The sequence below is a fragment of the Homo sapiens genome, chromosome 18 (assembly GCF_000001405.40).
Source record: "Homo sapiens chromosome 18, GRCh38.p14 Primary Assembly".
Lineage (NCBI taxonomy): Eukaryota > Metazoa > Chordata > Mammalia > Primates > Hominidae > Homo > Homo sapiens.
In genome coordinates, this window is record NC_000018.10 from 1,166,800 (window position 1) to 1,179,995 (window position 13,196).

The 13,196-nt window shown below is 34.0% G+C and overlaps 1 long non-coding RNA gene and 1 pseudogene across 2 annotated transcripts in view; one reads left to right on the plus strand and one right to left on the minus strand.

Annotated features, from left to right (window-relative positions):
* Positions 1–13,196, plus strand: part of LOC105371953 (uncharacterized) — a 155,413-nt gene that overhangs the window by 67,795 nt on the left and 74,422 nt on the right. Inside the window, exon 5 of one of the 2 annotated variants that reach the window (XR_007066436.1) lies at positions 7,847–9,745. The exons of the other annotated variant lie outside the window; for it this stretch is intronic. This is a non-coding gene — a long non-coding RNA (uncharacterized LOC105371953). Of the gene's footprint in view, positions 1–7,846; positions 9,746–13,196 lie in introns of those variants that run through there. 2 annotated transcript variants of the gene reach the window in all.
* Positions 9,851–10,273, minus strand: COX6CP3 (cytochrome c oxidase subunit 6C pseudogene 3; annotated as a pseudogene).

The following is a 13,196-nucleotide window of genomic DNA, read 5'->3' on the forward strand; positions in this document are numbered from 1 at the left end:
TTTAATATCAAGTTATGTCTGAAATAGGCTCATTTAAAAGCAAGGTTTGTATTGTAATAAATCCTGGTATAATAGAAATTTCAGAATATTTTTCACATTTTCATAATCATTCATTTTAATCACTAATGCCAGATGCCTTGATCATTGAGAGAAAAATATAAAAGAGAAATGAGTTAAAATATTTTGTGGCCTCATTTAGGTTTGAATGTTTATGTATATGTTTCAAGAATTACATAAAGTATACTTAGCCCAATATGTACTGGTACAAACTGTAAAATAGTCAACTATTGCTTCTTTAGCACATTTTCTAGAAGCATATTTTTATGACAAAACACTCTTTGTTTAATATTTACAGAGTATAAGGCTTTGGAAACTTTTGATATATGTGTGCTTTCTTAGAAGTAATAAGTCAAATAATTGGATAGATATTCAATTCAAACAATTATAATTACTCTAACAAATAGTATATCTATTCGCCTAATAGTTCTGAGACCTAAATTGAAATTAAGATGTTGAGGGGATAGATGGTTATTAATTGGAGGGATCACACATATTTTAGGTAAATTTCATAGATAATAGAAGATTCCAAATATTTACTGTTTGAAAAGCAAAAACAAATGTTAAATCTGGTAAAGTTCAAAGAAGTTCAAAGTATTAGCATAAGCTTATTGTTCTAACTACGAGCAAACAGAAGAGGCACCTTGTTTTGAAGTTACGTGAAACTTCAGAAAAAAAGGCCAGTATTCTCACATGTCAGTTCGAATACCTACCAAAGAAGGGAGCGCTGTGAATGAGTAACAATGGGAGGCAGAATGATGACCCCCCAAAGAGGTTCATATCCTGATCCCTGGAATTTGTGAATATGTTACATTACATGGCAAGGGGGAATTAAGGTTGCAGATGGAATTAAGGCTGCTAATTAGCTGACCTTAAAATAGGGAGACTACCCTGGTTGATTGGAGTGGACCTAGTATAATCCCAAGGACCTTAAATGTGGAAGAGGGAGGCAGAAGAGTCAGTGTTAAGAGTGATGCAATGTGAGAAAGACTCTACTCGCCATTGCTGGCTTTGGAAACGCGATGGGGCCATGAAATGTAGGCAACCTCTAGATTTTGGAAAAGATGAGTAGAGGAATTTTCCCCTACAGCTTTCAGAAGGAACCAGCTCTGCTGACACCTTAATTTTAGCCAAGAGAAACGGGTTTTAGATTTTTGACCTCTAGAACTATAAAATTATAAATTTGTGTTGTTTTAAGATGCTAAGTTTGTGGTACATTATGTCTTCACTTATCGTCATTGGTAGGTTTTTGGAAACTGTGACTTAAGCAAAATAGCATACAGCAGACACTCAATATTGTTTAGTTCAATATCATTTTGTTATAATGTTGTTAAGAAAAAATTGGTTTTGTTACACTTCATTTCTCTTAAAGTCGCAGTTTCCAAGAACCTACTGACATTGCTCAGTGAAGACTAACTGTACTTGTTACAGCAGCAATAAGAAACTAAAACGACAACCAAGGTGAGCTCTCTGAATAGAAATACACCAGTAATGGAAAACAATAAAATTTCCAAGTGCTAACATGAACAGGATGAAACAACTCCTAAAATTATTATCTTCCACTCCCTCTGATAATAATTTCATTAGATTGAACATCTAGTAGTTATTTGGAGTAATAAGTAGATATAAAAGACAGACTAGATGACTGACCAGCATTCTTAAGCTGTTTACATCTGTTTAAAAATGAATGTAGGAATGAGAGAAAACCTCATTCCTTGGAGTTTTGTTAGTGTGTTTCAGCTGATGAGAACCTAATGATTCCTTCATGAGCAAATGAACTGGAATCTGAAGATAGACAAGACTGTGTCTGTGGAATTGCTTTTGTGAACACTTATCATATGGGTGTCCAACATCCAAACTTCCATTCCTATTGACACCCTTATCTTCATTTTACAGAATTCCTCATACTGTATAGTCTTAGCAGTTAGGGCTTTCCAGAAAGACCAAGAGTCTCTATCCTGGCAGCAGCAGTAGACCAGCCTGTGGTCATGGTAGGTCTCAGTGGTGGAGCCACTGCTCAAACCTCCAAAGTTCACGTCTTCCTACGTATTTTCTAATCCTGGACCTCCACCTTCCCTTCATTCATTGAGTCCCTGATATCAGTCCAGTAACTTGTCTTTTGTTTAAATAAATTAGTCTGTTCCTACAGCTTCTAACCGGGAACAAAGCAGATACCCACACCAAGGAACTTCAACCTTTAAATAGCCTATACATGCTGACAGCATAAGATTTTATTCTGTTTCTAAAACTGCCAATTGACTGATGACTGCCATCCTAATAAACAATTGTAACCGCATAAACAAATATTATTACCTAAATTTATTCTCTGCAATCAACTGCACAGTTCATTTCTAAAATAAAAAATTCTTTTACAATGACAAAATCACAAAGAGAAGACTGACATATTTGACTATCAAAATATTTATACAATTTTTAAAAATAAAGAATAAATATTTACGAAAAATCAGTTTGAGAAAATGCTTAAGTACAAAAACAAGGTATATGCACCTGTATAAAATAAAGAGGTTATGTAACTGTCCCCCAAACATTCAAGATCCAAGAAACAATTCACACTTGATAAAATACAAAAAGTTCCAACATTTTTGAAAAATATTTGGTCTTGGTTTGATATAATCAAAGGAATAAAAATTAAAGCATCATTAAGATATAATTTTGTATCTATTAAAATAAAAAATGTTTTAAAGTATTGACACATAATTTTGATGATATGGTGAAACAAATATATTTATATACAATTACAGAACTATAAAATTGTGTCACTGGCTGTTTCTGGCTGCAATAAGATAATTTTTGAAAGTCATAAAATATTCATAAGTAGTTAATTCAATAGAGAAAGAACAGCTACCCGGACAAAGGTATTTATTACATCATTATCAAAAATACTAAAAATCTATAAAAGATAGGATGGTAGGGAATAGTCAAGTAAGTCATAATACAATATCTAACAGAATACTATGTAGTTATTGACAATAACAATTGTGGAAACATTAAGACTACTTAATTATAGGAATCTTAAAAAGAATAAAAATTACAACCATATAATCTTTATTCATTAAAAAAGATTAAAAAGGAATATTTTAAAAACTGTGTTTAATTATCAAAATTGTGAGATACTTTTTCATTAAAAGTGACTTTAATGTGAGCCAGGCTCAGTGGCTTACGTCTGTAATCCCAGCACTTTGGGAGGCTAAGGCGCGTGCATCACTTGAGGTCAGGATTTCAAGACCAGTCTGGCCAATATGATGCAACTCTGTCTCTATTAAAAATACAAAAATTAGCTGGGCATGGTGATGTGTACCTATAATCCCAGCTACTCCGGTGGCTGAGGCAGGAGAATCGCTTGAACTTGGGAGGTGAAGGTACAGAGTGAGACTCCATCACAAATTAAAAAAAAAAGTGAATTTAATGTGAACACAGTTTTGTAATAATAAGAGAGAAAATGATAGATCGGTGATGAAATTAATGTAAAAATTGGAAACTTCAAAGGCATAATCGAAATTTTAGAAGATTTGTCTCCTCTATTATTAGGTCAGTCAAAAGACATGGATTAAACATAACAATAAAATAACTCTACCAAGTACATTATCTTGGAGAATGTTAAACTCAGAGTCTTGTATTTTTCTTATTTCCCAAAGAATTCCAAGTTCACGATTACTCCAAATCCAAAAACATTCAGAGTGTGGACTATTATATTGAAATGAACCAAATATAAAACGAACCATCCTGTCTACACAATTTAAAAATGCTTGTTTACATTATATTGCAAGCATAAATCATATACCCTTCATGTAAGAAGGGTTATTGTGTCAAAGCTTGAAGATAATATAGAGATATATAGAGAGACAAACAGACATGCAGAACGTATACTACAATTATAACCATCAAGAAATGCTAAATTACTCTTTTGAGTGACTTTGAGTAACAGGCATCACCCCTCTTACAAAGCAGATGCAATAAACAAATTCTCTAGTTATCCATTAGTAAGGAGAATTTAGAGGATGTTAAAGAATGGGGAGATCTATGCTTTCATTTGACATGGACATGTGTCAAATGTAAAATGATAGGATTTTAAAAACATACTAAATGTGCATCTACAAGCTGTCAGATCACAGATGGAAAACTGACCACAAGGAGATCATTCATATGTAAATTCTAAATAATTTACTCAAGAACATGGCTTGCGCTAGAAGATATTGCCAGTCAGTCCTCTCTGTACATTTTTATGTACCTAGCCTGACAGCCCATCTGTCTCTAGTTCCCTTCCTTATCCCAATAACATTCTATATATCTCTCAAACACAAAGAAGATTAGTAAAGAAAATGACACAGGCAGGGCTAAATTTTAAAAGCCTATTTTTTCCTTACACAGTAGCAGTGATTTATAACAAGATGAAAATTAGCCAGAGAAAACAAAGTATGTTCTTCCTCATGGGTCAGTTAGACCAAGGCTTGGAACATGCGGACCAGCCCAGTAGCCAATGCAATTAGTTGATCAATACGAACTCCTGTGTGCCACTTGGCCTTCTAAGGGCTGACGCTACAATGCATTTCCTTAGGCCTGTGTGGTAACCAAGTGCATGACAGGTGCAAAGCTGTGCTATGGAATAAGCTCAGAGACCATTAAGAATATCCTAAGAATCTCTAATTTCACATGTTATTTAACTCATGAATAGTGGGATCACTATAGCACAGTATTGTACTTAAAAATAATTATTTAAAAATATATATGAAAACTATATTTCCTTTAAACAACATTCCAGTATAGCTTCTGATGCTCTCTGTCATTTATTACTGAGCAGTAGGAAGTCCAAATAAAATATTGGGCAAGACAAGGAAGTAATTGGATTGTTTTGTATGAAGGACTTTATATATCACTGCATATATCTCAAAGTGTTTTCACATGGCTCCTGTAAAACTATTTGGGCAAGTATTAAGGATCTAGACTGTTTTCCTCAGGTAATAAGGAGGAATCAGGCATCAAGAGTTGAGGGAAATGTCCAGGGTCACAGAAGCAGAGTAAAATAGAAGCTGTCACAATTCAAGGATCCCTTCACTTCATACTTGATATATATGTTATATTTATTATATTGAATATATGTAATAATTACAATTTAATTTTCTTAAGATAAAGATATTCAGCATTTATATGTGCTACTAATCAAAGGTATGTTAACCCGTAGGTAACCTCCAAGAAGCAGATAATAATCCGTATTGAGTCACCAAATCAAAGAATCTAGAATTTATAAATAACTCTATCCAACCTCACCTCAAAAATATAAATCCCCTCAATAATATACTTGATACATAACCTTTTTGAAATGTGCTTCATTAAGTCTGGATACCTGTTTGACTCGGTTATAACAAACTCAGTGACGATAAGTCCACTTTCTCCCACAGTTCCTCCAACTGCCACTTACCTATTCACTTCTTGTGCTGGTTAGACATAAGTTCACCATAGTGCTTCTTTTAATGTTTTATTTTCTTTCTAAAGAAAAAAGTACAGAAAAAATGAGGTTTAAGTTCATTAAACAGCCCAAATGTTCATCAACAAGTTTATAGTTCAGATAAACTTCTAGTTAATGCCAACTAATCTATAGTGACAGAAAGCAGAGCAGTGAAATCTGAGTACAGGGCAGGAAACAAAAGAGAGGAAGGAATTAGAAAGTGTCATGAGAAATTCGGGGAAGTGTATGTGTGGTCATTATGTTTCATGGGCGTTTATATGTCAAAACTTGTTAAACTGCACACTTTATATATGTGTAGTTTATATGTAAATTACACTTCAATAAAACTGTAAAAAATAAAAATTTATAAGTTTTATTTTTAAGAAAAGGAGACCGCCAACAAGGTCTCAGAAAGTGAAAATCTCTCCTTCTGGACCCGATTTTTGTGTTCTTATGAATGTGGAATCTATATCTTTCATTTGACTTGGCCATTTACACTACACTGACTGCAATAAGTTATTGCTTACTCCTTTTAGCCTCTTCCCTAATACACTATGTAGAGAAAAAAAAATAGACCAGATGCCACAGAAAATGACAAAGTTATGTGGAATAAATAGTTCCTGCTGTCAGGAAATATGGTGGCCCTATGCTGATGGAGTATCTCCATACTAAATACCCACAGAGATTGTCTCTTTCCATCTTGCCCTTGAGAGTTTGCCAATTTGGGCTGGAAGGGGGATATCTGCTTTTTTCATTCTAGAAGATTCCCTATGAAGAAAACTCCGCCAACGAAACGGTACCTTTTTCTTGTGTCTACAAACTCTTACTAAGCATTCTCTATGTGAAATTTTCCCAAATAGTAATTCCCAGGATCCAGAATTTGGGACACTGCACACTTGCTTAACACATATCTTTGTGCAAGGGCATGCTTCTCCTCAATTTATTGTGGTTCTCTGTTAACATAAATCCCCATTGCATGTAAAAATGGGACCCAACAGCTTTAGTCTCCGTCAAGTCTGTTACTAGAATATGCTCTGCCTTCTTTTATCACTCACTACAGAAGGCTTGTGTTAAGCAATTTTGCCACAGAACAGGGTTGACTCTAACGTAATTATCACAGATATCGATTGTGAATGATCTTTTTCAACAGTTGTGAACAGATACTTTCCATCATTAGAGACAGTAGTTTATTAACTGCATATACATGTACTTGTGCTGCTGCCTAGAGCAAATGTAAAGGCTCCTCTAAGTAAGATCCAAAATATCCTAACCTTACTAGATCTTCAGGAAGTTGAGGACAAAAAGAATTCTTCATAACTCATTCACTTATTATGTCCCAGCAGCTCGAGAAATGCCTTGGGAATGACTTATTTTGGAGGCATTGAGTGTTCTGGCTTTGAGACCCATATGTAATTATGTACACGGGATTGTTGCAGAACTCAAACAAGATATTGACTTCTTTTACCATCTAAAGGATGTACCCTTAGTCACAGTACATTCTGACTAAGAGAACCAGCCCAGCACTAATGTTTACTTAAAAGGTAAATAAATGTATATGGTGATCCTTGTGGTCATTTAAGCAGCACTACTCACATTAGGTACCAACGTATGAAAATAAGAAAACAGTTCCGAGAGATAATAGTAGAAAACAGTTCCAAGACATAATAAAATCAGAAACAACATCTCTGTAGTTCATTACAGTTTGTGTGAGTGTTTTATATTTATTATGCTCCTCAAAACAAATCTAAGCTGTGTAATAATGACTATTAACATTTTACAGAAGATGAAACTGAGTTACAGAAGAACAACTGCCGAATGACTTGACAAAACCTACACAGCCAGAATCTGAAGCTAAATGTTATTGGCTTCAAAGACAGTACTCTTTCTTCTTTTAAGTTTTTTTCTTACTTTTAGAAGTTATTGTTTTATTTTGATTATGGCAATAATATATGACCATTGTAGAAAATCTCGTAAAAGTAGAACAACATAAAATATAAAATTAAGGCTGGGCACTGAAGCTCATGCCTGTAATCCAAGCCCTTTGGAGGCTAAGGTGGGAGGATTTCTTGAGGCCAAGAGTTTGAGACCAGCCTGGGCAACATAGCAAGAATGCCATCTCTAAAAAATAAAATTTAAAAAATGCAAAAAATTAAAATTATCCAAAATCCCATTACCAAGACAGGCATTGGTAAATTCTGTGTATTTCATATTTATAGGATTAAAAACATACTCCTGGGCTCAAGTTATCCTTCCATCTCAGCCTCCTAAGTAGCTGGGGCTATGGGCATCTGCCACCATGCCTCACTAATTAAAAATTTTTTGCAGAGATGGAGTCTTGCTATATTTCCCAAGATGGACTTGAACTCCTGGGCTCAAGCAGTCCTCCCACCTCAGCCTTCCAAGTTGCTGGAACTATATAGGTGCACACCACTGTGTCCGGCTAAATTTGTGTATTTCCATGGATGTATAATATATTTACATATCTACTATCTTTCATCAAATTTTTTGTAAAATAGACTCTGAATTGGAGATTTGCATACAGGAAGTTTAATGGTTTATCCTCTGGAACAATGTCTGTAAGAGAGGGAGGAAAGCAGGAATGTTCCAAGGGAAAAGTTGAAGCATGGTGAGTTACAACAGAGGCATACATTGTTCAGTTCCACATGGAAATTTAGATCTTGGATGGACCTTCCAACTGGTGTTGATTTGATATCAGGAGCCCCTCTGTAACCACACATTGACTAGTGACTGGATATAAGCTGCCCCTTGGGGAGAGGGCTGGACATCAGACAAGGCAGATCCATGGAAATTCTAAGAAAGTGACTCAAATGTGGGCTATCAGCAGCCAATCTTCTATGCATTTGATGGAATAAGTGCCTCTGTCCTGAGGAGGTGACCACAACCTTCACTACAGTTCATCTCTGTGCCACATAGATTTACTTCCCTGGTAGGATGACCAATAGGTGGGTTGTAGACCCAGTGAAAATATTCTGAGTCAAAGCTGCATCTTCATTTATTTATTAAAATATTCTGAATCAAAGCCACATCTTCATTATTATCTGCTATCCATAAGTCTCACTTGAATAGTGGGGCCATGATACACTTGAGGACCCCACAAAAGTCCTTGAAATAACTTAGTATTCTCTGTCCCTAGTATTCTGTATTCCCATTTTACAGTTACCCAAGTAAATGGGTATAGGGTTTATTTTTGTTTAAATGAAAGTATTGAGAAAATCATTACTGTAGACGGTTGCCATGGTGTTGCAGAATTTTTCCTCCTAAAAACTCAGATTCTCCTTCTATCAATGGTTTCTGGTTGTGCAAATTGACCCAGGTCCCGAAATACAGTTTATTATATAAATACACCACATTCTAGGTGATAGATGTTGAGATTATTTCTACTTTTTGGCTATTATGTATAATGATGTTATAAACAAGTGTGTTCATGTATTTGAACATGTTTTTCTCTCTCTTGGGTAGATATCTAAAGGCAGACTTGCTAAGTTTTATGTCAAGCATCGATTTCATTTTTAATAAGCTGCTATAACTGTTTTTCAAAATGGCTGTACCATTTTCCCTTCTACCAATAATGCATGAAGGTTTGTGTCCCCAAAATCACCAACAGTTATGTCAGCTGTTTTGATGTTAGCCATTCTAACCGAGTTTAGCTCGTTATAGTTTGTAGTTCCTTAAAGAGTAACAATATTGAGTATTTTTAATGTACTTTCTTTTGCCCTTAGTGTATCTTCATTGCTGAAGTTTCTATCCAACTATGTTGCCCATTTAAACAAATTGGGATGTTTGTCATCTTATTACTGAATTATAAGAATTCACTGTAAATTCTGGATACAAGTCCTTCGTCAGTTATATATATTGAAATTTTTTTATCAGTCCATAGCTTTTCATCTTGCAACTCTTTTGAACAGCAAAATTTTTCAATTTTGATGAAGTTCAATTATCAATGTTTTCTTTTATTGATTTTGCTTTTGGTGGTATAACTAAGAAATATTTGCTTAACCCCAGTTCAGAAATATTTTTCTCCTAAGTTTTCTTATACAAATTCTATAGTTTCTGTTCTTACATTTAAGTCTATGATTCACTTAAAGTTAATTTTTGTGCACAGCATGATTTAAGAGTCAAATCTTAATTTTTGTATATGAATATCCAATTTGTTGAAGACTGTCCATTCTCCATTAAAGTACCTTGGCATCTTTGTCAAATGAATTGATCATAAATGTGTGTTTATTTCTAGACACTCTAATCTGTTCCATTGATCTACATGTTTATTCCTGTGCATATACCATAGTGTCTTTTATTACTGTGGCTTTTAAAAAATTTGTTAATTGTTTATTTATCGAGAGAAACTATTTCTTAGCCCGCATATTCGTGTTCATAGTTCAGGAACACAAGCCAGTGACAAACTTCTAGGTAATTCAGCCTGAAGAAATTCTTTATATTTCAAGATCATTTCACACTCCAAAAAATACCAGCCTTCCTCATCTCCTCAAAGTCTTTCATGGAATCATAATTTCTGTAAAAATCTGTGTACACCTTCTTTCTTGGTTCAGCCACAGCAAACTTACAGAAAACTGCAAGCTCCAGGGATACCATGAATACTCCAACAATATGAAATTGCAGATGCTCGGCCAGAAGGCCATGCATCCGAGGTTTTGTCAAAGCATGGGAAGCCATGGTAGTTGCTGTCCTTGATAGGTATGTCAACCTCAACTCCAACGTCCTTCCTGACTGATGGAGAAATGGTTGTGTGTTTTTTTTTTTTGTTTTTTTTTTGAAACAGAGTCTTGCCTTGTTGCCAGGCCGGAGTGCAGTGGCTCTTGGTTCACTGCAACCTCCGCCTCCCAGGTTCAAGCAATTCTCCTGCATCAGTCTCCTGAGTAGTTGGGACTACAGGCCACCACAGGAAATACTGGCAGAAACCTCAAATCTGGAGAAGAAAATGAGCATCCAGATTCAGGAAGCCCAAAGAAACCCATATAAGATGAATTTAAAAAAGAACACACACAAAAAGACATCAAGTTGTCAAAAATCAAGGTCAAAAGAGAATTTTGAAAGCAACAATGGAGAAGCAATTTGTCACATACAAGGGAACTCTGTTGAGACTATCAGTGGATTTCTTAGCAGAAACCTTGCAGGCCAGCAGACAGTGGGATGAAATAGTCAAACTGATGAAGAAAAAAACCCCAAAATTCTCAACCAAGAATACTCTACCTGGCAAAGCTGTCTGTCAAAAATGGAGAGACAAAGACTCTGCTAAACAAACAAAGTTAAGGGAGTTCATCATCATTAGACCAGCCTTGCAATAAATGCTAAAGTGAGTTCTTCAAGTTAAAATGAAAGGATGCAATACAACAACACAATGGCATAAGAAAATATAAAACACATTTGTCAAGGTAAATATACAGACAAATACAGAATGCTGTATTATTGTAATAATGGTAAATCACTTTTAATTCTACTATAAAAGTTAAAACACAGAAGTATTAAAAGTAACTATAGCCTAAAAATATTAAAAGAGACAATATAAAGAGATACAAATTGTGGCACCAGTGAGATAAAATGTGAGGGATAAGTGTAGGTATAGTTTTAATAAGCAATTGAACGTAAGTTGTTCACAGTTTAAATTAGACAGTTATAAGAAATTTTATGTAAGCCCCATGTCAACCATAAAGAAAATACCTATGGAAGTAACACAAAAGAAAAAGAGAAAGAAAGCAAAGCTTATCAGTTTTAAAAATAAATGAAACACAAAGACAGTAAGAGAGAAAAAGATAGACAAAATAACTACAAGGCAGACAGCAATGAACAAAAAGGCCATAGTAAATCTTTCCTGATCAATACTTCCTTAAAATGTATAAATATTCAAGTTCCCAATCAAGATACAGAGTGGCTGAAGGATTTTTTTTAAAGATCCAACTATATGCTGTCTACAGGAAACTCAGTTTATATTAAAGGACACAGGCTAAAAAAATGTATGATAAAATATATTTCATGAAAATAGTAACCCAAAGAGGGTAGATGTGGCTTTACTTATATCTGATAAAATAGTCAAAATTGTCACAAGAAACAAGAAGTATATAATCCAATGATAAAAGGACCAATTCACTTGGAAGATATAACAATTATAAATATATATGCATCCAACAAGAGAAGACTTAAATATATAAAACAAGCATTGATAATACTGAAGGGAAAATAGTGCTGCAATAATAGTAGGAGATTTTAGCACTCCATTTTCAATAATTGATAGAAAAACAACCAGATAGTAAACTAACAAAGAAGCAGTGGACACAAACAACTCTATACATCAAAAGGACTTAACAAATCTCTACAAAACATTCCATTCAACAGCAAAAGAATTGTCATTCTTCTCAAGCACATACAGGACATTTTTCAAGATCGATCATGTTAAGTCACAAAACAAGTTTTAACAAAGTTAATAATATTGAAATAATACCAAGTACCCCTTCAACCAAAATGTAATAAAACTAGAAATAAATAACAATAGGAAAACCGAAAACGTTGCAAGTATGTGGAAATTAAATATACATTTTTGAACAACCAATGGGTCAAAAAAGAAATCCAAACAAAACATATCTGGAAACAAATAAAAATATAAATAGAACTTAACAAAATTTTCTGAATGCAGCAAAAGAAGTACTAAGAAGGAAGTTTACAGTGACAAATGCCTATGTTAAAAAAGAAGAAAGGTCTCAAATAAAAAACCCCATTGTATATCTCAAGGAAATTGAAAAATAAGAGCAACTAAATCCAAAGCAGACTAAAGGAAATAATAAAGATTATAGCAGAATAAATAAAATGAAGAAGAGAAAAACAATAGAAAATCAATGAAACTAAGAGTTGGCTTTTGAGAAGATAAAATTGAAAATATTAAGCTAGAGTAACCAAGAAAAAAGAGAGAAGACTCACATAAAATCAGAAAACAGAGAGAATACATTACAACTGATACCACAGAAATGCAAAGGATTATAAGAGATTACTATTAACAATTATACACCAGAAACCTGGGAAACCTAGAAGAAATGGATAAATTCTTGGAAACATACATCCTACCAAGACTGAATCATGAAGAAATAAAAAGTCTGAACAGGCCTTTAACTAGTATGGATATTTAATCAGTAACCAGAAATCTTCCAACAAAGAAAAGCTCAGGACCAAACACCTCACTGATGAATTGTATGCAACACTTGAAGAATTCATACCAATTTTTCTCAAACTCTTCCAAAAAATTGATGAGAAAGAAACACTTCCAAACTTATTTTATGAGGCCAGAATTACCCTGATAAAAAAACTAGACAAAGCCACCACGACAAAAGAAAACTACATGTCAATATCTCTAATGAATATAGATGCAGAAATCATCAGCAAAATATTAGCAAACCAAATTCAACAGCACATTAAAAGAATCATTCACCATGACCAAGGGGGATTTATCCCCAGGATGCAAGGATGATTCAACATATGCAAATTAACAAATGTGATACATCACATTAAAAGAATGAAAGATGAATAAAAGCCATATGATCATCTCAAAAGACATAAAAGAGAATTTGATAAAATTCTACAAATTTTTATGATGAAAACTCTCAACAAACTAGGAACAGAAGAAAAGAACCTCAATATAATGAAGGCTATA